The 26,183-nt window shown below is 43.7% G+C and overlaps 1 pseudogene, besides 1 other annotated feature; it reads left to right on the forward strand.

Annotated features, from left to right (window-relative positions):
• On the forward strand, positions 3,736–4,949 carry PRELID1P5 (PRELID1 pseudogene 5; annotated as a pseudogene).
• Positions 25,581–25,777: a silencer, noted in NCBI's record as "fragment chr1:211402251-211402447 (GRCh37/hg19 assembly coordinates)". NCBI's record gives its function as "represses an EF-1alpha promoter that drives an FKBP-Casp9 reporter gene in an ReSE screen in HepG2 liver carcinoma cells {active_cell/tissue: HepG2}" and the evidence as "EXISTENCE:reporter gene assay evidence [ECO:0000049][PMID:32094911]".

Consider the following 26,183-nt stretch of genomic DNA (forward strand, 5'->3'; position numbering starts at 1 on the left):
AGACAGTGACCTATAAGCCAAGGAGAGAGGCCTCAGAAAAAACAACCCTGGCCAGGCGCAGTGGCTCACACCTGTAATCTCAGCAATTTGGGAGGCCAAGGTGGGTGGATCACCTGAGGTCTGGAGTTCGAGACCAGCCTGACCAACATGGAGAAACCCCATCTCTACTAAAAATACAAAATTAGCCAGGCATGGTGGCATATGCCTATAATCCCAGCTACTCAGGAGGCTGAGGCAGGAGAATCGCTTGAACCTGGGAGGCAAAGGTTGTGGTGACCCGAGATCACACCATTGCACTCCAGCCTGGGCAAAAAGAGCAGAACTTCGTCTCAGAAAAAAAGGAAAGAAAGAAAGAAACCAACCCTGCTGACACCTTGATCTCAGACTTCAAGCCTCCAGAATTGTGAGACAATAGATTTTTGTTGTTCAAGCCATCTAGTCTGTGGCACTTTATTACGGCAGCCCTAGGAAACTAATATAGATGAATAGGAGTTTTCCATTACAGGGAGATAAGGAAAAGGGTACTTACACATTGCTGGTGGAAATGGACATTTTAACAGCCTTTTTGGATAGCAATTTGGCAATAGCTATGAAAAATTTGTTTCCAGTTATTTTGCCACTACAATGCAATTTAAAAAACACTTACATATTTATCCTCACTTACTGAATGGGCTTTTATTTCTATGAACAGATTCCCAAGAGTGAAACTGCTGGCATGAGATCTTGTTAAAAAATGCTTTTCTTGTGGGTTTCCCCAGAGTCCTGTTGTCCCTACAATTATACTATAAAACTGCTGATCTCAGAATATTTCATTTCCTAAAGTTCAAGTTGTATATCAAGCATAAAAATCAGTTCGAAAAATTGCTCTCAACAAAATAAGAGGTAGCAAAAGTCTGTAACTATGCAGATTATATTAGTTTTCTATCGCTGCATAAAAATTACACAAACTTAGGGCTTAAACAACACACATTTATTATTTCACAGTTTCTGCAAGTCTGGAGTCCAGGAAGGGCTTAGCTAGGTTCTCCTCAAGGCTGCAGTCGAGGTGTTAGTTGAGCTGTGTGCTCATCTGGATGCTCAACTAGGGGAAAATCTACTTCCAAACTCATTCAAATGGTTGGCAGAATTCATTTCTTTGCAGTTGGAAGGCTGAGGGACCAGCTTCTTGCTGGCTGGAGGCTGGAGGTCATCTGCATGACCTTATCATATAGGTTTCCCCAATATTGCCAATGACTTCATCAAGCCAACAAGGAGAGTCTGTAAAGTGAGTCTGTTAGCAAGACAGAGACTTACATAACATAATCACAGAAGCGACACCGCGTCAACTTTGTCATATTCTATTGGTTAAAAGTAAGTCACAAGTCCTGTCTATGTTCATGGGAAGGGGATTACACAAAGGCATGAACACTAGAAGGCAGAAATCATAAGGGCCACCTTACAGTCTGTCTGCCACACAGATTTGAAACCTTCCTTGTCTGTGGCTAGGTGAGGTGGCTCACGCCTATAATCCCAGCACTTTTAGAGGCCAAGGCAGGTGGATCACCCAAGGTCAGGAGTTTGAGACCAGCCTGGTGAACATAGTGAAACCCTGTCTCTACTAAAAACACAAAAAATAGCCAGGCGTGGCAGTGCACATCTGTAATCCCAGCTACTTGGGAGGCTGAGGCAGGAGAATCACTTGAACCGGGGAGGTGGAGGTTGCAGTGAGCCCAGATTGTGCCACTGCACTCCTGCCTGGGCAACAAAGTGAGACTCTGTCTCTAAATAAATAAATAAAATAAAATAAAATCTTCTGGGCCAGCGTGGTGGCTCATGCCTGTAATCCCAGCACTTTGGGAGACCAAGTCATATGGATCACTTGAGGCCAGGAGTTCAAGACCAGCCTGGCCAACATGGCAAAACCCCATCTCTACTAAAAATATAAAAATTAGCTGGGCGTGGTGGTGGGCATCTGTAATCCCAGCTACTCAGGAGGCTGAGGCAGGAGAATCACTTGAACCTGGGAGGCAGAGGTTGCAGTGAGCCGAGATCATGCCACTGCACTATAGCCTGGGCAACAGAGAGATACTCTGTCTAAAAAAAAAAAAAAGAAAGAAAGAAAAGAAAAGAAAAAAAGAAATCTTCCTTGTCTGTGAATGAAAATACGTAATTTTTTTTTGGTATTCCACTAATCAAATATATCAATGTGCCTGATTTCTCAAAACAAGTCAGTAAAGATACCTGATGTTCCTTGCTTCCTTCCTTGGCTTTCTATGGCTTGATGTTTCTTTCACTTTATTACAATTAAATTGAAGTCAACAAACATTTGTGAATACCTGCTAAGTATAAGTCTTTTCGGAGGTATTGAGAGGCCTAATCACTTCCATTTTTTAAGACTACCGTTATACTATAAAATCTGAAGAAATGAGTAATAATGGTTACAACATTGCTGTATATTTTAAACGGAAAGTGTAGAACTGAAAAAATGTAACATCCAAAATTAAAAAGTCACTGGATGAACTTTATAGCAGAACAAACATAAGAGGGAAAGTCAGTTAATAGAACAATAAAAATTATCCAATCTGAAAAACAAATGAAACATTTTTTTAAAAAACTAACAGAGCCTGAGGAAGCTGAAGGACAATATCAAGGGGGTTGATATAGGGGCAACTGGAGCCCCATAAAGAAAGAAAAGAGAAAATGCAGTAGAAAAGAAATGCATGAGGAAATGATAGCAACAAAACTCCCCAAATTTGGTGAAAGACAAATTGATAGATTCAAGAAACCCTAATCAGGATAAATACAAGGAAAACCACATCTAGACATATCCTAGACAGACTGCTTGTGATAGACAGTTTTGACATGGCCCCCACTGACCTCAACCTCCTGGTGCTCATGCCTTTGTATAATCCCCTTCCCTCAAGTGTGAGCTGAACCTAGTGACTTGCTTTTAATGAATAGAATACAACAAAACTAATGGGATGTCACTTCCATGATTAGGTTACAAAAACTGTGACTTCCATTTTGGTAGGGCGCTCTCTCTCTGTGTCTGTGTGTGTGTGTGTGTGTGTGTGTGTGTGTGTGTGTGTGTGTGTGTGTACATGAAGCAACCTGCCATGTTGTGAGATGCTGTATGGAGGGGACCATGTGTCAAGGAACTAAGGGAAGTCTCTGGCCAATAGCTCATGAAAAACTGACATGTCTCTGGCCAACAGCCACAAGGAACGGAATGCTGGCAACCACCACGTGAATGAACTCTGTGAAAATTCTTCACAGTCAAGCCTGAGAAGACCATAGCCTTGTGAGGAGACTCGAAGCCAAAGCAGAGGACCAAGAACCCTTAGCTACACCCAGATTCCCAATCCACAGAAATTATGAGATAATAAGTGTCTATTGTTTTACCAGCTAAGTTTTGGAACAATTTGTTACACAGCAATAAATAACCAATACACTGCTGAAAACCAAAAATTAACAGGAAACTGTGAAAGTAGCCAGGAAAAAAACCAATATATTACATTCCAGGGGGAACATTATTCAGTGGCATTGGACTTTTTATCAGAAGCTGTGGGGGCCAGGAGGCAGTGAATTATATTTTTCAAGTGCTTGAAGAATTAAACTGTCATTTCAGCATTCTATATCCAGCCAAAATATCCTATGAAAATGAAAACAAACAACAAAAAAACTAAATAAGTGTTTAAATAAAGGAAAACTAAGAGACTTCATTACCACCAGATGTGCATTACAAGAAATGCTGGACCGGACAACTCATGGCGGCGGTGGCGGCAGCTGCTTGGGCGCGGTGCGGTGGTGACTGAGCTACAAGCCTGGCGGCGGGTGTGCGCCGAGCCCCGGCCCAGCGCGGCCCCCGCGTGCCTCCCAGGCTCCGCACCCCCGATGCTGCGCGGGTGCTGAGCCCGCTCCGGCCGGGACGATGGTGAAGTATTTCCTGGGCCAGAGCGTGCAACGGAGCTCCTGGGACCAAGTGTTCGCCGCCTTCTGGCAGCGGTACCCGAATCCCTATAGCAAACATGTCTTGACGGAAGACGTAGTACACCGGGAGGTAACCCCTGACCAGAAACTGCTGTCCGGGCGACTCCTGACCAAGACCAACAGGACGCCCTGCTGGGCCGAGCGACTGTTTCCTGCCAATGTTGATCACTCGGTGTACATCCTGGAGGACTCTATTGTGGACCCACAGAATCAGACCATGACCACCTTCACCTGGAACATCAACCATGCCCGGCTGATGGTGGTGGAGGAACGATGTGTTTACTGTGTGAACTCTGACAACAGTGGCCGGACCGAAATCCGCCGGGAAGCCTGGGTCTCCTCTAGCTTATTTGGTGTCTCCAGAGCTGTCCAGGAATTTGGTCTTGCCTGGTTCAAAAGCAATGTGACCAAGACTATGAAGGGTTTTGAATATATCTTGGCAAAGCTGCAAGGCGAGGCCCCTTCCAAAACACTTGTTGAGACAGCCAAGGAAGCCAAGGAGAAGGCAAAGGAGACAGCACTGGCAGCTACAGAGAAGGCCAAGGACCTCGCCAGCAAGGCAGCCACCAAGAAGCAGCAGCAGCAGCAACAGTTTGTGTAGCCAGCCCACCACCACCACAGCACCCCAGACAGCTAGGCTTAGCCCCTCTGCCCTCCCTCCATTGTACTTGATCATTAAAAATCAACTTCCAGCCCTATCTACTGTCTGGGTGGTGGGTTATGGGGATGCAGTTTGGCATCTGCAGTACACCAAGCACATGATTCATGTCTGAGCCAGGTCTGCTTATTCTCCCATTAGGCAGCTGAGGACCGAGGCACAGAGGTGCGGTGACTTGCCCGGGGTTCCAGGTAGCCTCCAGGTTAACTGGCAGTAAGTGCTAGACTGTAAGCCCGACGAGGGCAGGGCTTTTGGTTTTGTTCTCTGATGTGTCTCAGTATCTAGCACATAATAGACACTCAATAAATAATTGTTGAATTCAGTCAGCACCCCCCCCAAAAAAAAGAAATGCTAGAGGGAGTTCAGCAGATTGACAGAAATGACACCAAAGGAAAACTCGCATCTTTAGGAATGAATTTATTTATTAATTTATTTAGCGACAGGGTCTCGCTGTGTCACTCAGGCTGGAGTATAGTGGCATGATCGTGGCTCACTGCAACCTCTGCCTCCCAGGCTCAAGCGATCCTCCCACCTCAGCCTCCAAGTAGCTGGGACCACAGGAGCATGCCACCACACCTGGGCAAATTTATTCATATTTTTAGTAGAGACAAGATTTCGCCATGTTGCCCAGGGTGGTCTCAAACTCCTGGGCTCAAGTGACCCGCCCACCTTGACCTCCCAAAGTGCTGAAATTATAGGCATAAACCACTGTGCCCGGCCTAGGAATGATTTTAAATCATCAGGAATGGTAAATATCTGAACACATTACAATTTTTCCTCTTAATTTATTTGGAATACATATAGATGTTTAAGTTATAGCATTTATAGCATTATTTTTTGAAGTTTATAATGTATGTAGATGTGTTACATATGATAACTATAGCACAAAATGGCAAGTAGAGTGTTAAATGGACCTATACAAATGAAGTAGGTCCTATACTAACAGAAAATAAACAAAAAAAAAGCAGACCTAAATCAAATCATGTTAATTATTATATTAAATGTTACTGGATTATGCACTGAAAAAAGGGTCGGGGGAGGAATTATAAGAATAGTTTTTTTTTTTTTTTTTTTGAGACAGAGTCTCGTTCTGTTGCCCAGGCTGAAGTGCAGTGGTGCAATCTCGGCTCACTGCAACCTCTGCCCTCCCAGGTTCAAGCAATTCTCCTTCCCCAGCCTCCCGAGTAGCTGAGACTGCAGGTGCATGCCACCACGTCCAGCTAATTTTTGTATTTTTAGTGGAGACAGGGTTTCGCCATGTTGACCAGGCTGGTCTCGAACTCCTGACCTCAGGTGATCTGCCTGCCTCAGCCTCCCAAAGTGCTGAGATTAGAGGCGTGAGCCACCATGCCCAGCTTGAGCCACCCTGCCCAGCTCAGAATAAATTTTAAAAAGGAAGATTCATCTCAGAAATGTATTTAAAATAATGCTTGTTAACTTTTATCTAGTATTTCCAGGTATTTTTAGCTGAAAGATTTTTATATCTACTATTTTTCTGGTATCAGAAATCTTGAAGTCTTCTTTTATTGTGAGATTACTTGGAAGAGGAAATAAAATGACAACAACTGTGTACCAATTCATACCCTAACTTGTACTCATGGTTGGAGGGTGGCCTTAAACAGTAGAATAGGAGGTTAGAGGCAAATGAGGTCCTGGGCATCTAGATCAGTAGGTAACTTCTAAACAGGGGTATGTTGGATCATGTTCTTTGTGGTCTTTGCGTCTTATCTTTTTTCCTCTTGTTTCTCATTTGACCAAAAAAAAATAATAATTAATACCTGTGCACCAGGTACTGTGCTATAGCACAGTGGAAAGACAGGAAAGAACAATACAGACATAGTCCCTGACCTTAAAAAGCAGCCCAGTCTGATAAACAAACATTTAAAAATTACTCAAATAATTATTTCATAACCATATGACAAGTGTTAAATACAAGTTACCATGAGAGCCAGGTACAGGGCCAGTCAGCTGAATTCCTAAGCCTCATCACCTGGGTCCACTCAGTTATCTTAGAGAACCAAAAAGAAAACTCAAAAAAACAAAAACAAAAACAAAAAAGCCCAAGTAAGGTAAATACAGGAAAAACCTGAAGCTAGTTTAAAATAGAGGTCATACAAGTCATGCACTTTATGTAGACATAAAATATTCAAATTAATATTATACTTAATACTTATCTGGTTTCCCTTGGCAACCATGCAGGAGTGGCTCAACAGAGAGGAAGAGAAAAAAAAATTGTATCATTCTGGCAGCTTCAAGAAGTTACCATGGAGAAGAGAGATGCCAACAAGAAAGAAGACATTGTTATGACCAAAACCAGAATAACAGTATGTAATGTGCAAGCTCCCAGCCTTACACACCACACAATTTCAGAGGCATCAGTGAGGGAGAAGACAGCACAACTGTGAATCAAGATAACACAGCAGTGATGGCTCAAGCCTGTAATCCTAGCACTTTGGGAGGCCGAGGCGGGCGGATCATCTGAGGTCGGGAGTTCGAGACCAGCCCGGCCAACATGGCAAAACCCTGTCTCTACTAAAAAAATACAAAAATTAGCCAGGCGTGGTGGCATGCACCTGTAATCCCAACTACTTGGGAGGCTGAAACAGGAGAATTACTTGAACCTAAGAGGTGGAGGTTGCAGTGGGCTGAGATCATGCCACTGCACTCCTGCCTGGGTGACAGAGACTCTGTCTTAAAAAAAAAAAAAAAAAAAAAAGATAGCACAGCAGCCTGGCAGTACTCAGGAAGAACAGGGGTTAAGTTCTACCTGCCTCATCTCCCTGAGGTATGCCATTTTTATCACAGACTAGAAGAACATGTATCTGTTTACCTCCATATTCTCAGTGCCTGGAAAAAAATAACATTCAATCAATGAGTCATGTGTAAACACAGTGATGCCTCAAAAAGTGTTAAAAATTATGACCAATATATTCTAGTGGCAAATGCAGGCGTGTATCAATTGCATTTTGAAAAGTACTGTTATGATAAGCACAATCTGAGAGATATGCTACAGAAGACAGGACCAGAGAGACTTATTGGGTTGGTGAAAAGTAACTGTGGTTTTTGCCATTAAAAGTAATTTAAAAGTAATGACAAAAACCACAATTACTTTTGCACCAACCTAATACTTCCTTAAGAAGGAAAATGGCCTGATAGAGGCCACTACCCTGATTCACAATGGGTAAAAGGCAAAGGTTTGGTTCAACATTGTTTACTTAAGAACTGGGCCAGGCGCAGTGGCTCATGCCTGTAATCTTAGGACTTTGGGAGGCCGAGGTGGGCAGATTGCCTGAGCTCAGGAGTTAGAGGCCAGCCTGGGCAACATAGTGAAGCCCCGTCTCTACTAAAATACAAAAGAAATTACCCGGGCGTAGTGGCGTGTGCCTGTAGTCCCAGCTAACTTGGGAGGCCGAGGTTGCAGTGAGGGGAGATCGCGCCACTGCAGCCACTGCACTCCAACCTGGGTGACAGAGCAAGGCTCGATCTCAAAAAAAAAAAAAAGAAAAGAAAAAGAAAAAGAACTATATTTCTCCCTTTCAACTAATCCATTTGGCAGTTTTTGTTTTGTTGCTAATCAGACACCCTTCTGTTGGGATGGATGTAGTGGAAGAGATAGATACACAATGATCAGTTGTATGATTATCCTGCAAGTGAACAGGGCAAAAGAAATGCTTTAAGAATTACAAAAGCCAGCTGGGCCCAGTGGCTCACTCCTGTCATCCCAGCACTTTGGGAGGCCAAGGCGGGTGGATCACCTGAGGTCAGGAGTTCGAGATCAGCCTGACCAATATGATGAAACCCCATCTCTACTAAAAATATAACAAATTAGCTGGGCATGGTGGCATGCGCTTGTAATCCCAGCTACTCGGGAGGCTGCCAGGAGAATTGCTTGAACCCGGGAGGCAGAGGCTGCAGTGAGCGGAGATCACGCCATTGCACTCCAGCCTGGACAACAAAAGCAAAATTCCATCTCAAAAAAAAAAAACTACAAAAGCCATCAACTATTTGGTGTAACTAGAACATGTGAACAATTTAAGAGAGCCTAGTAAGTAGCAATTGGAAATGGAATGGGTCTTTTAATATTAAAAGGCTATATAGGCTTTAGACTTTCACTTTTTAAGTCTAAAGTTAAGCTTTTTGGCCTGGCGCAGTGGCTCACGCCTGTAATCCCAGCACTTTGGGAGGCTGAGGCGGGCAGATCATGAGGTCAGGAGATCGAGGTCATCCTGGCTAACACGGTGAAACCCCATTTCTACTAAAAATACAAAAAATTAGCCAGACGTGGTGGCAGGCGCCTGTAGTCCCAGCTACTCGGGAGGCTGAGGCAGGAGAATGGTGTGAACCCAGGGAGCAGAGCTTGCAGTAAGCCGAGATCGTGCCACTGCACTCCAGCCTGGGCGACAGAGCGAGACTCCGTCTCAAAAAAAAAAGAAAAAAATTAAGCTTTTGAAGAGAAACTCTTATCAAATGAACACTCTCTTCAAGAACAGGTATAAAGCTAGATAAAAATATGAAAAAGGTAGTTATTTGAAGATACTGAGAAGCTACCAAGGTAGCCAGGGCAGGGAAGTCAAGATCCTAGAGGAAAAGGAAACAAATCGGAATAAATCAGACATTCTCCACCAATGTTTTCCCTTGGGGCATTTACCATTTCCTGGCTAGGAGATAGAGGTATAGCAGAAAGTAGTGGGCAAGAGTTTTCAGTAAGTTTATGGGGATAGGAAGACAAAAATTGGGGTTCAAGACAAGTGGAGCAGCCAAGACATGAACAGCCAGGGTCCCAGAGAGAAGAAAATCACAGAAAAATGAGTGTGAAATTTTGCAAGGATTTTACCTCAAGGAATCTTCTGAATCCTAAGTCACTGAAGAACAGGGAAAGGAGTAGGAGCAGTTACATAAAAATAAACAAACAGGCTGGGCACAGCGGCTCATGCCTGTAATCCCAGCACTTTGGGAGGCCAAGGCAGGTGGATCACAAGGTCAGGAGATCAAGACCATCATGGCCAACATGGTGAAACCCCGTCTCTACTAAAATACAAAAAATTAGCTGAGTGTGGTGGTGCACGCCTGTAATCCCAGCTACTCAGGAGGCTGAGGCAGGGGAATCACTTGAACCCGGGAGGCGGTGGTTGCAGTGAGCGAGATTGGGCCACTGCACTCCAGCCTGGCAACAGAGCAAGACTCCATCTCAAAAACAAACAAACAAACAAACAAAACACAATTGTTAAGGTGTTTAAGGGATAAGCAGTGATTTGGGAAATCTCAGAGAACTAAACAGACAAAAACTGGAGTTCAGAGCCTGAAATGGAGAAAGAATCCTGGACAACATGCCAGGTTTTAAGTAGAGATCCCTGAAGGACTATTTTCTAGGTTCAAGGGTATAACCGTAATATAGCATGCCTCATAGAGCCTTAAACTCAGCCTCTAACCATCTCAAAGCCTGATCAAAATGAATGACATCTGTCTCTAGTTAACTGCTGGCAAGGCCGGTGCAGTGGCTCATGCCACCCAACAGTTTGTGAGGCCAAGGGAGGAGGATTGCTTGAGCCCAGAAGTTTGAGACCAGCCTGAGCAACAAAGTGAGACTCCTTCTCTACAACAAATTGTAAAATTAGCCAGGTGTGGTGGTGCACATCTGTGGTCCAAGCTGCACAAGAGGCTGAGGGAGGAAGATTGCTTGAGCCCAGGAGGTCAAGGCTGTAGTAAACCATGTTCACACTACTGCACTCCAGCCTGGGCAACAGAGTGAGACCCTGTCTCCAAAAAATACAAGGATCAAAAAAATATATATATTGTAAAACAAACTTATAAGACATGGTTTAAAAAAAAAAAGGGAGGCCAACATATGTCTAAATGAGAAGAAATAGAATGGTCCAAATAATATTTGAAGAGATAGTTTCTGAGAATTTTCCAGAATTGATGAAAGACCTTGAACTACAGATTCAAGGATCTCTAAAAACTTCAACCAGAATAAATACAAACAAAATCAAATCTGGACATTTCATAGTAAAATGGTTTAGAATTAAGGAGAAAGAAAAAAATCTTAGAAGTGACTGAAATAGGAGAGATGCATAATTTTAAAGGAGTAACAATAAAACTGATAGCTAGCTGGGCACGGTGGCTCGTGCCTATAGTCCCAGCACTTTGGGAGGCCGAGGTGGAGTGGATCACCTGAAGTCAAGAGTTCGAGACCAGCCTGGCCAACATGGTGAAACCCCATCTCTACTAAAAATACAAAAATTAGCCAAGCATGGTGGCGCACACCTGTAGTCCCAGCTACTTGGGAGGCTGAGGCAGGAGAATCACTAGAACCCACAAGGTGGAGGTTGCGGTGAGCCAAGATCGCACCACTGCACTCCACCCTGAGCGATAAAGTGAGACTCTGTCTCAAGAAAAAATAAAAATAAATAAAAAATAAAACTGATAGCTTACCCTTTCATAGAAATATAAAAGCAACTAAACAATGGAATAAAATCTTCAAAGGGCTGAAAGAGAGTGACAACCAACCTGGAAATCTATATCCAGGCCGGGCACGGTGACTCACGCCTGTAATCCCAGAACTTTGGGAGGCTGAGGTGGGTGGATCACTTGAGGTCAGGAGTTTGAGACCAGTCTGGCCAACATGGTGAAACCCTGTCTCTACTAAAAATACAAAAATTATCTGGGCATGATGGTGGGTACCTGTAATCCCAGCTACTCAGGGGGCTGAGGCAGGAGAGTTGCTTGAACCTGGGAGGTGGAGGTTGCAGTGCACTGAGATCGCACCACTGCACTCCAGACTGGGCCACAGAGCAAAACCATGTCTCAAAAAAAAAAAAAAGAAAAAGAAAAAGAAAACAATTTATATTCAGTTTTATATATGTATATATATATATATATATACTTCAAAAGTGAAGGTGAAATAAAGACATTTGCATATGCACAAAAACTTGGAAGAATTTAATGGCAGCACATCTCCACCCAAGGAAATACAAAGAGTTTTCCAAGCAAAAAGGAAAAAAACCCCTAATTGAAGCTCAATAACACAGGTATATAAAGAAATGGTAGTGATATAGTTAAAACTAAATGAATATTGACAGTTAAAACAATGATAATATCTTGGGGAGGTTAAAATATATGTAAAAATACAGAAAATTTAAATACATTATATCTCCTGCTATACTTCATGGTAAAAAAATAAATAAATACATGATAAGGATGCCAAAAATAGGTGCGAAGGGAAAAGGAGTTTACTACACTATTTTTCAAGAATAAGGGTAAAATAAAGTACTTTCAGTCATAAAATAACTTTTTTTTCCTTTTTAGAGGGAAAGAGATGGGGTTGTCACTCTTTTGCCTAGGCTGGAGTACAGTGGCATCATCATAGCCCACAGCAGTCTTGATCTGCTAGGCTCAAGAGGTCCTCTCTCACCTCAGCTTCCCAAGTAGCTGGAACTACATGCACATGTCCCCACATCCAGCTAAGTTTTTTATTTTTTGGAGAGACAAGGTCTCACTGGGTTGCCCAGGCTGGTGTGGAACTCCTGGGCTCAGGCAATCCTTTTGCGTCAGCCTCCCAAAGTGCTGGGATAACAGGCATGAGCCACCACGCCTGGCCATAAAAAACTATGAAAGTTTAGTACTAATAAGCTGTTGGTGAAAAAACAACTAAAGGATTTTCTTTGGCAAAATTTAAAGGAACCCAGAAAGAAGTGGTGGGAGTAAATATATTGGTAAATGTTTTGGTAACGCTAAACAGATATGGACTATAAGGGAAAAAAGGAAAGAAGGAAGGGAGGAATGGAGGGAGAGAGAGAGAAAAGAAAGGAAAACAAAAGAAAACAAAGGAAAGAAGGAGGGAAAGAAGAAGAGAGGGAGGGAGAAAGGGAGAGAGTAGCAATAATAATAAATCACTAATTTGAGAAAGTTTAAAAACAAGCTAGAGGCAACATGAAAATGGGGACAGTGTTGTATCTAAAGTTATAGCATTCAAGTTATATTTTTCTCTATGCTTTTTGTCTTTTCAACATTTTCTACTCTGGTGTGTGCATTATTTTTGTAATCGGGATAAGCTATAAATGCTGGGGGTATTGGTTTTCATTTTTGTTAATAAGATTCTACTTCTGTAGAATGATTAACTATAAGGTCCAAACATATGTTCTATAGATCCATGATCATAGATAATACAATTAAGATTCAAGAAGTTAATAAACTTGTTAAGATTGCACACTGAGCATAGGGTGGGCTAGAAGAGAATTCCGACATCCTCCCTTCCAACTTCACAGTGGATTGAAAAAAACACATCAGTTCTTACTTACACCTGTCACCAAAATCTTACTCATAATACAGACTATGGACCAGGATCTGGACTTTTTTTTTTTTTTTTTTTTTTGAGACAGAGTCTCTCTCTGTCGCCCAGGCTGGAGTGCAGTGGCACGATCTCGGCTCACTGCAAGCTCTGCCTCCTGGGTTCACGCCATTCTCCCGCCTCAGCCTCCCGAGTAGCTGGGACTACAGGCGCCCGCCACCACACCCAGCTAATTTTTTGTATTTTTAGTAGAAACGGGGTTTCACCGTGTTAGCTAGGATGGTCTCGATCTTCTGACCTCGTGATCCGCCCACCTTGGCCTCCCAAAGTGCTGGGATTACAAGCGTGAGCCACTGTGCCCGGCCAACCTGGACTATTTTTAAGCAGGTTTTTATTTCCCTCAAAAAAATGAATTAATAATGAAAATAACTCAGGAGGAGTAATAGTTGGCAATTTAACATTTTAGGTTTTCTCTATGACCTGTAATACCAGCTAACAGCATAACCTTAAAAAGGGTACTCTAAGTACTATTGCTTTTTAAGACGTCCACGATTGGATGAATCTCTTATCCCTAATTAGACTCTGGGTCAACTTGTACATAATGTTCTTACCAATAATACAGGAAAGCTCTCTTGCTCAAGGAAACATAGCCAGTAATCTCAAATAAGTAAATATGTGCTATGCTGTGAAGAATATGCAAAGGCGAAGAGGATGATTCTCTTATAATCTCCCTTGGTTATCATATTTAACACACTTTGGAAATGTATTTTTTGGTTAATTATGTAGTTAGGCCATCACACAGAGTAGCAAGTAAATTGAGACAGTTCTTTGTTTCAAAACTTAGCAGATTTTGGCATCCAAAAAGTATAGATGAGGTATGCTAAGGTTCTGAATATTTGGGCTTACCTCATATAAAATAAACTTTATTCATTTATTCAACAAATATTTACTGACCACTTCAAAGGGTCAAGGACAGTTTTAGGGACTGGAAATTTGGCCATGCAAGGCCACTGCCTTAAAAGAGCTCACATTCTAGTGGATAAAGCTAAGAAATAAACCTTTTATTTTATATATATATGTATTTTTTTTAAGACAGGGTCTCGCTCTGTCACTCAGGCTGGGGTGCAGTGATGCAATCATAGCTCACTGCTACCTCAAAACCTCAAACTCCTAGGCTCAAACCATCTTCCCACCTCAGCCTCCAGAGTAGCTGGGACTACAGGTAAGTGCCACCACACTTGGCTAATTATTTTTATTTTTGTAGAGATAGGGGTCTCACTATGTTGCCCAGACTAGTCTTGAACTCCTGGCCTTAAGCAATCCTCCCGCTTCAGCCTCCCAAAGTGCTGAGATTACAGGTATGAGTCATTGTGTCCACTGGAAACCATTTTTTTAAATTCACAAGGCACCTACTGAGTGTGTTGCATGCTATGATTGAACTCTACAAAATGATATGATGGAAGGAAGTGGGAGTGCTATTTTAGATAAGGTAACAGGGAAAGCCTTTAAGGAAGGTATTTGGGATGCTGGAGGAACAGAAACAAGACCTGGATGGCTGGAACCCAGTGAATGAAAGGAAGGGTGGCACAAAATAAGGATGGAGAGGCAGGCGGGAGCCTGATCATGCAGCTTCATACAAACATTTGCTTGGCATCTCCCCCTTTCCTGTCTTTCTCTGTTTACTAGGTTTCTATTCATTTCATCCCAAAGGCCACAGTCTTTGCTTTTCAGAAAAAGATATCTTAGGAACATAACCTATAGTTCTAATATTCTTGTCTACTTATCTCTAAAATTTAGTCATGCATTCTTCATAGTGCTTAAAATGCCCTAATAGAAAGAATTTCTCTGCAGATCCAGGATAATTGGCAAAGGAGTCAATGAAAGTGATTGTTGAAGACAACAGATAACTTGGGTCTAGCGGTGGTAGAGGTCCTTGGCAGAATTTTCTTTGCTATTTGAAATGTAAATTTATTCTCGCTGTAAAAGCAAACTCAATATTCAACACAAAAATATAATTATTTTATCGGTACAAATTTACCATCTCTTTAATGCCCCCTACTGTGGTATCCTGTTAACCACAGTAATATATTAAAACCGGGATGGAGTCAGCTAAGCTGTAGCTTTCCAGAAGAATGCTTTTTGAAGCTTACCTCCTTCTTCTAAAAACAACATCCTTACTTAACTCTCTGGGCTATAAAATGTTTATGTGAAAAACCTTCCAAAAGAGTTTTAATCAAAAGTCAGAAGCTTATTAAACCTTTTTCTTTCTTTAGTATTAGGATACAGTGCATTAAAATGCATAAGAACAGGTAACAGATGAAGCTTTGTTCTTCAACCCCCTTGATACCTGCAGATTTGATACTTAAAATTACCTTAAGTTCGAGGTAGGAAAGACTTTTCTTCTTGTTTCAAAGCCCTTCCATATCAGCCTCTTACCAAAGCACTTGGAGATAATGTGATGAGAAATGCAAACTAGGAAAGGGAGAATAATCAGTATTTCAAAAGTAATTTCTCTTTTCAAGGATCCTAAAATGTTTAATAGAATATTATTTTAAAAGGCTGGGCATGGAGGTTCACGCCTGTAATCCCAGCACTTTGGGAAGCCAAGGCGGCTGCATCATGAGGTCAGGAGTTCGAGATCAGCCTGACCAACACGGTGAAACCCTGTCTCTATTAAAAACACAAAAAAATTAGCCAGGCGTGGTGATGCACGCCTGTAATCCCAGCTACTCAGGAGGCTGAGGCAGGAGAATCGCTTGAACCCAGGAGGCAGAGGTTGCAGTGAGCCAAGATCGTGCCACTGCGCTCCAGCCTGGGCAACAGAGCAAGACTCCATCTCTCTCTCTCTCTCTCTCTCTCTCTCTCTCTCTCTCTCTCTCTCTATATATATATATATATATATATATATATATTAAACATGTTATCAGGGCCTCACAGACAGGTTGCAGTGAGCCGAGATCGTGCCACTGCATTCCAACCTGGGCAAGAGAGCAAGACTCCATCTCAAAAAAATAAATATATATATATATATATATATATATATATATATATGTAATTTTGAAACATGTTATCAGGGCCTCACAAACACTTGATATTGAGCAAGAAAGTTGCTTTCCAAAAAATTGGTGGAAAACTTTAGAAAATCCTCTTCTGACCTCACTTAGGATGTGTTATTCTATCTACCCAAAATCTACCAAAAATTTGAAATAAAATTACATATCTAACAGTGATTATAGAAATGTGATATACTTCAGAGGAATTTGTACCAATATGGAATATAGCCCAATGTCTTTGTTGCCATATAATATCCAGAAATTGTTTTTAATAATTAACAATGATGTAATTTGTAATACTCCCTAATTAGTTTTGCATAGCTTCTTATAAAATAAATTAAAATTTATTATTGCTAAAAGCTTATAAGTTGCTAAATCTCATGTCAATTCCCTGCCCTCACCTTGTTTACACAACCACAGCATTTAATGCAGATGGTCACAGGAGTGACTTGTCTCGTGGCTTCCTGGACACCACAATCTCCCAGTTTTCTTCACCCTTTCTCCTCTGTTGGCCCCTCCTCATTTTCTCAATCCCTTAATGCCAGAGTGCCCCCGGAGCCAGCGTGTGGTCCTCTTCTCTCCTCCATTTACACTCACTCCCTTGAAGATCTTGTCCAATCTTTAAGTACCAAGTGTATGCCAATGACTCCAAAACAGAGCCAGCTTCCTTGTGAGCTGTGCACTCGCAAGCCCCACCCTCAGAAAAGCCCTGTGCTTTAATGCTCTGCTGTTGCTGAGACAGGGTCTTGCTCTGTTGCCCAGGCTGGAGTGCAGCGGTGCAATCACGGCTCACTGCAGCCTCAACTTCCTGGGCTCAGATGGTTCTCCCACTTCAGCCTCCTGAGTAGCTGGGACCACAGTCGTGCACCACAATGCCTGGCTAATTTTTTTATTTTTTAGTAGAGATGGGATATCACCATGTTTCTCAGGCTGGTTTCAAACTCCTAGGCTCAAGTGATCTTCCCACCTCAGCCCCCCAAAGTGCTGGGATTATAGGTATGAGCCACCACGCCCAGCCACTGAAATTCTCAATAATTTTTTAACAAGGAGTCTTCATTTTCATTTTGCATTAGGTCCTGAGTATGACTTATCCTTCTCCCAGATGTATGTATCCAAACTAACCCTCTCTCCAGACTTTTATAATGAACTGCCTACTCCACATCTCAACTTGAATGTCTAATAGATATCTCAAACTCAACAAGATCAAAATCAAACTCACATTTCCTTCCCTAGACCTGTTCTACCACTAGCCTTCCCATCTCAGTTAGAAATACCTTCATGTTTCCACTTGCTCAGACTACACACTTTGCAGTCTCTTTTGATTCTGTGGCTTCTCTTTTTTTTTTGAGACAGAGTTTCACTCTGTCGCCCAGGCTAGTGTGCAGTGGCGCGATCTGCACCCACTGCAAACTCCACCTCCTGGGTTCACACCATTCTCCTGCCTCAGCCTCCTGAGTAGCTGGGACTACAGGCACCCACCACCGCGCCCGACTAATTTTTTGTATTTTTACTAGAGACAGGGTTTCACTGTGTTAGCCAGGATGGTCTCGATCTCCCGACCTCGTGATCCACCCGCCTCGGCCTCCCAAAGTGCTGGGATTACAGGCGTGAGCCACCACACCTTGCCAATTCTGTGGCTTCTCTTACACTCCACCACCAATCTGTCAGCCAACCACATTGGCTCTACCTTTAAAACCTATGAAGTAGTCAACTGTTTCTCCCCATTGCCACTACAGCCATCCTGGTCTGAGTCACCATCACCTTTTTTCCTGGATCACTGCAGTAGTTTTGAGAGGTGAAGCTGGCTGGGCTTCTGGGTCGGGTGGGGACTTGGGGAACTTTTCTGTCTAGCTAAAGGATTGTGAATGCACCAGTCAGTGCTCTGTGTCTAGCTAAAGGTTTGTAAGTGCACCAATCAGCACTCTGTAAAAATGGACCAATTGGCTCTCTGTAAAATGGACCAATCAGCTCTCTGTAAAATGGACCAATCAGCAGGATGTGGGTGGGGCCAAATAAGGGAATAAAAGCTGGCCACCTGAGCCAGCAGCAGCAACCCACTTGGGTCCCCTTCCATGCTGTGGAAGTTTTGTTCTTTCACTCTTCACAATAAATCTTGCTGCTGCTCACTCTTTGGGTCTGCACTACCTTTATGAGCTGTAACACTCACTTCAAAGGTCTACAGCTTCACTCCTGAAGTCAGCAAGACCACGAATCCACTGGGAGGAACAAACAACTCTGGATGCACCACCTTTAAGAGCTGTAACACTCACTGCGAAGGTCTGTGGCTTCAATCCTGAAGTCAGCAAGACCATGAACCCACCAGAAGGAAGAAACTCCAGACACATCTGAACATCTGAAGGAACAAACTCCAGACACACCATCTTTAAGAACTGTAACACTCACCACGAGGGTACGTGGCTTCATTCTTGAAGTCAGCGAGACCAAGAACTCACAGAAAGGAACCAATTCCGGACACATTTTGGCAACCCAGATGGGACTATCACCTATCGCCAAGCGATGAGTACCATCGGACCCCTTTCACTTGCTATTCAGTCCTATTTTTCCTTCAAACTCAGGTGCTAAATACCAGGCAGCTGTCAGCCAGTTAAAAGCAACTAGCACGGCCACTGGACTAAAGACATGGGTGTCAGGCTTTCTGGGAAATGTATCTCTAACAACCCCCAACTCTTCAGAGTTGGGAGTGTTGATTTCCCTGGAACCAGCTTCCACTTTTCCTGTACTTCTGGGCTGAGCCAAGGGTTGACAGAGGAAAGCCATTCAGCTCCGGAGTCCTGAAAACAAGTTGGTTGATCCTGCAGCCATGAGCAGAACTCTCTGAAGGGGTTTCCTGCCCCTCCACACCTGTGGGCATTTCTCGTCAAGTGGGATGAGAGACTGAGAAAAGAAAGAAGACACAGAGACAAAGTATAGAGAAAGAAAAGTGGGCCTAGGGGACTGGCGCTCAGCATATGGAGGACCCACACTGGCACTGGTCTCTGAGTTCCCTCAGTATTTATTGATCATTATCTCTACCATCTCAGAGGGGGGTATGTAGCAGGACAATAGGGTAATAGTGGGGAGAGGGTCAGCAGGAAAACATGTGAACAAAGGTCTCTGTGTCATAAATAAGTTTAAGGAAAGGTACTGTGCCTTGATGTGCACGTATACGAACATCTTGGTGCATTAAAGAGCAGTATTGCCACTAGCATGTCTCACCTCCAGCCCTAAGGCGATTTTCTCCTATCTCAGTAAACAGAACATACAATCGGGTTTTACACCGAGACATTCCATTGCCCAGGGACGATCAGGAGACAGATGCCTTCCTCTTATCTCAACTGCAAAGAAGCCTTCCTCTTTCACTAATCCTCCTCAGCACAGACCTTTTATGGGTGTCGGGATGGGGGACGGTCAGGTCTTTCCCTTCCCATGAGGCCATATCTCAGGCTATCACATGGGGAGAAACATTGGACAATACCTGGCTTTCCTAAGCAGAGGTCCCTGCAGCCTTCCACAGTGTATTGTGTCCCTAGGTACCTGAGATTAGAGAATGGTGATGACTTTTAACAAGCATACTGCGTTCAAGCACTTTTTTAACAAAGCACATCCTGCATAGCCCTAAATCCATTAAACCTTGAGTCAACACAGCACATGTCTCTGCGAGCACAGGGTTGGGGCTAGCCTTACAGATTAACAGCATCTCAAGGCAGAAGAATTTCTCTTAGTACAGAACAAAATGGAGTCTCTTATGTCTACTTCTTTCTATGCAGACACAGTAACAGTCTCATCTCTCTTTCTTTTCCCCACACTCTCTAAGTCATGTTGCCCAAGTGAGACTTGCCCATCTAACCTATCTATACTGACCCTTGCCTCTTGGGTCCTAATGCCTGTCAGACAAACTTCCTCCCCCCTCTCTTCTCTGAGGCTAGTCCCGCTTCTAAAAACCACTCCTTGTCTCTTGTGCTTTTCTAGTTTCTCCTGTAAGAATGATTTCTAGTATAAACTTCAGAACTCTGTTACCTTATTTAGGCACCCAGGCTCACCAATCAGAAAGACATAATTTTTGCCCAAAGCCCCATCGTAGGGGGACTATCTGGAATTTTGGGATCCCTCCTCAGACAAGCAGGCCTAACAAAAGCTATTCCTGAAGCTAGGATATGGGGAGCCTCAGAAATTGTATCCTTCCTATTCATATAAGTGAGGACAAAAGGCATCACTCTTCCAACTCTGGAAATCCCTTACCTCCCTCAGGGTATGTCCCTCCACTTCATTTTTGGGGCATAACATCTTTATAGGACATGGGTAAAGTCCCAATACTAACAGGAGAACACTTAGGACTCTAATGGGTTTTCGAGAATGCATCGGTAAGGGCCACTAAATCCAATTTTTCTCGATCCTCTTTGTGGTCTAGGAGGACAGGCAAGGGTGCAGGTTTTCGAGAATGTGTCAGTAAGGGCCACTAAATCCGACATTCCTCGTCCTCCTTGGGTCTAGGAGGAAAACTAGTGTTTCTGCTGCTGCATCGGTGAGTGCAACTATTCCAATCAGCATGGTCCAGGGACCGTTGCAGGTTCTTGGGCAGGGGGAAAAATAAACAAACCAAAACCGTGGGCAGTTTTGTCTTTCAGTTGGGAAACACTCAGGCATCAACAGGCTCACCATTGAAATGCACCCTAAGCCATTGGGACCAATTTGACCCACAAACCCTGAAAAAGAGGTGGCTCATTTTTTTCTGCACTATGGCCTGGCCCCAATATTCTCTCTCTGATGGGGAAAAATGGCCACCTGCACCTGAGGGAAGTGTAAATAACAATACTATCCTGCAACTTGACCTTTTCTGTAAGAGGGAAGGCAAAAGGAGTGAAATACCTTATGTCCAAGCTTTCTTTTCATTGAAGGAGAATACACAACTATGCAAAACTTGCAATTTACATCCCACAGGAGGATCTCTCAGCTTACCCCCATATCCTAGCCTCCCTATAGCTCCCCTTCCTATTAATGATAAGCCTCCTCTAATCTCCCCCACCCAGAAGGAAATAAGCAAAGAAATCTCCAAAGGACCACAAAAACCCCTGGGCTGTCAGTTATGTCCCCTTCAAGCTGTAGGGGGAGGGGAATTTGGCCCAATCCAGGTACATGTCCCCTTCTCCCTCTGTGATTTAAAGCAGATCAAGGCAGACCTGGGGAAGTTTTCAGATGATCCTGATAGATACATAGATGTCCTACAGAGTCTAGGGCAAACTTTCTATCTCACTTGGAGAGATGTCATGCTATTGTTAGATCAAACCCTGGCCTTTAATGAAAAGAATGTGGCTTTAGCTGCAGCCTGAGAGTTTGGAGATACCTGGTATCTTAGTCAAGTAAATGATAGCATGACAGCCAAAGAAAGGGACAAATTCCCTACCAGTCAGCAAGCCATCCCCAGTATGGATCCCCACTGGGACCTTGACTCAGATCATGGGGACTGGAGTCTCAAACATCTGTTGACCTGTGTTCTAGAAGAACTAAGAAAAATTAGGACAAAGCCCATGAATTATTCAATGATGTCTACCATAACTCAGGGAAAGGAAGAAAATCCTTCTGCCTTCCTCGAGTGGCTATGGGAGGCTGTAAGAAAATATAATCCCCTGTCACCTGACTCACTAGAGGGTCAATTGATCCTAAAAGATAAGTTTATTACCCAATCAGCCACAGATATCAGGAGAAAGCTCCAAAAGTGAGCCCTGGGCCCTGAATAAAATCTGGAGACATTATTAAACCTGGAAACCTCAGTGTTCTATAATAGGGACCAAGAGGAACAGGCCCAAAAGGAAAAGCGAGATCAGAGAAAGGCCACAGCCTTAGTCATGGCCCTCAGACAAATGAACCTTGGTGGTTCAGAGAAGACAGAAAATGGAGCAGGCCACTCATCCAGTAGGGCTTGTTATCAGGGTGGTTTACAAGGACACTTTAAAAAAGAATGTCCAATGAGAAACAAGCCGCCCCCTCGTCCATGTCCACTACGCCAAGGCAATCGCTGGAAGGCACACTGTCCCAGAGGGCAAAGGTTCTCTGGGCCAGAAGCCCCCAACCAGATGATCTAACAATAGGACTGAGGGTGCCCAGGGCAAATGCCAGCTCACGTCATCACCCTCACTGAGCCCCGGGTATGTATAACCATTGAGTGCCAGGAAATTGACTTCCTCCTGGACACTGGCTTGACTTTCTCAGTGTTAATCTCCTGTCCTGGACAGCTGTCCTCAAGGTCCGTTTCCATCCGAAGAATCCTGGGACAGCCTGTAACCAGGTATTTCTCCCACCTCCTCAGTTGTAATTGGGAGACTTTGCTCTTTTCACATGCATTTCTTGTCATGCCTGAAAGTCCCACACCCTTATTAGGGAGGGATATATGAGCCAAAGCTGGAGCTATTATCTACATGAATATGGGGAACAAGTTACCCATTTGCTGTCCCCTACTTGAGGAGGGAATCAACCCTGAACTCTGGGCATTGGAAGGACAATTTGGAAGGGCAAAAAATGCCCATCCAGTCCAAATCAGGCTAAAAGATCCCACCAGTTTTCCTTATCAAAGGCAATATCCCTTAAGGCCTGAAGCTCATAAAGGATTACAGGATATTGTTAAACATTTAAAAACTCAAGGCTTAGTAAGGAAATGCAGCAGTCCCTGCAATACCCCAATTCTAGAAGTACAAAAACCGAATGGTCAGTGGAGACTAGTGCAAGATCTTAGACTCATCAATGAGGCAGTAATTCCTCTATATCCAGTTGTACCCAACCCCTATACCCTGCTCTTTCAAATACGAGAGGAAGCAAACGGGTCACTGTTCTGGACCTCAAGGATGCCTTCTCCTATATACCCCTGCACTCTGACTCCCAGTTTCTCTTTGCCTTTGAGGATTGCACAGACCACACATCCCAACTTACATGCACCGTCTTGCCCCAAGGGTTTAGGGATAGCCCTCATCTGTTTGTTCAGGTACTGGCCCAAGATCTAGGCCACTTCTCAAGTCCAGGCACTCTGGTCCTTCAGTATGTGGATGATTTACTTTTGGCTACTAGTTCGGAAGCCTCATGCCAGCAGGCTACTCTAGATCTCTTGAACTTTCTAGCTAATCAAGGGTACAAGGCATCTAGGTCGAAGGCCCAGCTTTGCCTACAGCAGGTCAAACATCTAGGCCTAATTTTAGCCAGAGGAACCAGGGCCCTCAGCAAGGAACGAATGCAGCCTATACTGGCTTATCCTCACCCTAAGACATTAAAACAGATGTGGGGGTTCCTTGGAATCACCGGCTTTTGCCAAATATGGATCCCTGGATACAGTGAGATAGCCACGCCCCTGTATACTCTAATCAAGGAGGCCCGGAGGGCAAATACTTATCTAGTAGAATGAGAATGAGGGGCAGAAACAGCCTTCAAAACCTTAAAGCAGGCCCTAGTACAAGCTCCAGCTTTAAGCATTTCCACAGGAAAATACTTCTCTTTATACGTCACAGAGACGGCAGGGATAGCTCTTGGAGTCCTTACTCAGACTCATGGGACAACCCCCCAACCAGTGGCATATGTAAGTAAGGAAATTGATGTAGTAGCAAAAGGCTGGCCTCACTGTTTATGGGTAGTTGCAGCGGTGGCCGTCTTAGTGTCAGAAGCTATCAAAATAATACAAGGAAAGGATCTCACTGTCTGGACCACTCATGATATAAATGGCATACTAGGTGCCAAAGGAAGTTGATGGCTATCAGACAACCGCCTGGTTAGATACCAGGTGCTACTCCTTGAGGGACCAGTGCTTCAAGTGCATACGTGTGTGGCCCTTGACCCTGCCACTTTTCTCCCAGAGGATGGGGAGCCAATCGAGCATGACTGCCAACAAATTATAGTCCAGACTTGTGCCTCCTGAGATGATCTCTTGGAAGTCCCCTTGGCTAATCCTGACCTTAACCTATATACCGTGGAAGTTCATTTGTGGAGAATGAGATACGAAGGACAGGTTATGCCATAGTTAGTGATGTAACCATACTTGAAAGTAAGCCTCTTCCCCCAGGGACTAGTGCCCAGTTAGCAGAACTAGTGGCACTTACCCGAGCCTTAGAACTGGGAAAAGGAAAAGGAATAAATGTGTATACAGGTAGCAAGTATGCTTATCTAATGCTACATTCCCATGCTGCAATATGGAAAGAAAGGGAGTTCCTAACCTCTGGGGGAACCCCCATTAAATACCACAAGGAAATTATGGAGTTATTGCACGCAGTGCAAAAACCCAAGGAGCTGGTAGTCTTACACTGCTGAAGCCATCACAAAGGGGAAGGAGAGGGGAGAACAGCAGCATAAGTGGCTAGCAGAGGCAGGGAAAGACCAGCAGAAAGGAAAGAGAGAAGGAGACAGAAAGTCAGAAAGAGAGAGAGGAAGAGACAAAGACAAAGAGGGAGTCAGAAAGAGAGAGACAAAGAAGTCAAAGAGAAAGAAAGAGAGACAGAAGTAGTAAAGAAAAAACAGTATACCCTATTGCTTTAAAAGCCAGGGTAAATTTAAAACCTGTAATTGATAATTGAAGGTCTTCTCCATGACCCTATAACACTCCAATACCACCTTGTTGTCAGTGCAAACAAGGGCATAGCCTGAAAGCACTGAGGCCACTGACAACCCATAGCCTTTCTATCAAAAATCCTTAACCAAGCAGGTTTCCTAACAGGGGATCTAAATCTTAATTAATTGCCATACAAACGTGTGAGTTGTTTGCACTCAGCCAAATCTTAAAGTACTTACAGAATCAGGAAGGAGCCATCTATACCAATTCTAAGTTAATACGGACTGAAGGAGGTTTTATTAATAGCAAAGAAAAATTAAAATCCCAGACTTACGAGGTTTTCAACAAAAGTAAAGTTTGCTAAAAGTTAACAGTGTAACATATATTATCCTAATATCACACACTCTCAGAGGATTTCTCACACAGTTTGCAAGAAATAACAAAATCTATCCAGTAAGGATAGTAACTACAATCCCAAATAGACTCTTTGGCAGCAGCGACTCTCCAAAACCACTAAGGCCTAGACCTCCTCAATGCTGAGAAAGAAGGACTCTGCTCCTTAGGGGAAGAGTGTTGTTTTTACGCTAACCAGTCAGGGATAGTATGAGATGCCGCCCGGCGTTTACAGGAAAAGGCTTCTGAAATCAAACAACGCCTTTCAAACTCTTATACCAACCTCTGGAGTTGTGCAACATGGCTTCTCCCCTTTCTAGGTCCCATGACAGCCATCCTGCTATTACTCACCTTCGGGCCATATATTTTAACCTCCTTATCAAATTTGTTTCCTCTAGAATTGAGGCCATCAAGCCACAGATGGTCTTACAAATGGAACCCCAAACGAGCTCAACTAACAACTTCTACCAAGGACCCCTGGACCGACCCACTGGCCCTTTCACTGGCCTAAAGAGTTCCCCTCTGGAGGACACTACAACTGCAGGGCTCCTTCTTCACCCCTGTTCAGCAGGAAGTAGCTAGGGCGGTCATTGGCCAATTCCCAACAGCAGTTGGGGTGTCCTGTTTAGAGGGGATTGAGAGGTGAAGCTGGCTGGGCTTCTGGGTCGGGTGGGGACTTGGGGAACTTTTCTGTCTAGCTAAAGTATTGTAAACACACCAATCAGTGCTCTGTGTCTAGCTAAAGGGTTGTAAGCGCACCAATCAGCACTCTGTAAAAACGGACCAATTGGCTCTCTGTAAAATGGACCAATCAGCAGGATGTGGGTGGGGCCAAATAAGGGAATAAAAGCTGGCCACCTGAGCCAGCAGCAGCAACCTGCTCGGGTGCCTTTCCACACCGTGGAAGCTTTGTTCTTTCACTCTTCACAATAAATCTTGCTGCTGCTCACTGTTTGGGTCTGCACTACCTTTATGAGCTGTAACACGCACTTCAAAGGTCTACAGCTTCACTCCTGAAGTCAGCGAGACCACAAACCCACAGGAAGGAACAAACGACTATGGACGTGCCACCTTTAAGAGCTGTAACACTCACTGTGAAGGTCTGTGGCTTCACTCCTGAAGTCAGCAAGACCACGAACCCACCAGAAGGAAGAAACTCTGGACACATCTGAACATCTGAAGGAACAAACTCCAGACACACGATCTTTAAGAACTGTAACACTCACCACGAGGGTCCATGGCTTCATTCTTGAAGTCAGCGAGACCAAGAACCCACAGGAAGGAACCAATTCCGGACACAGT

Source organism: Homo sapiens, chromosome 1 (genome assembly GCF_000001405.40).
Source record: "Homo sapiens chromosome 1, GRCh38.p14 Primary Assembly".
Classification (NCBI taxonomy): Eukaryota; Metazoa; Chordata; class Mammalia; order Primates; family Hominidae; genus Homo; species Homo sapiens.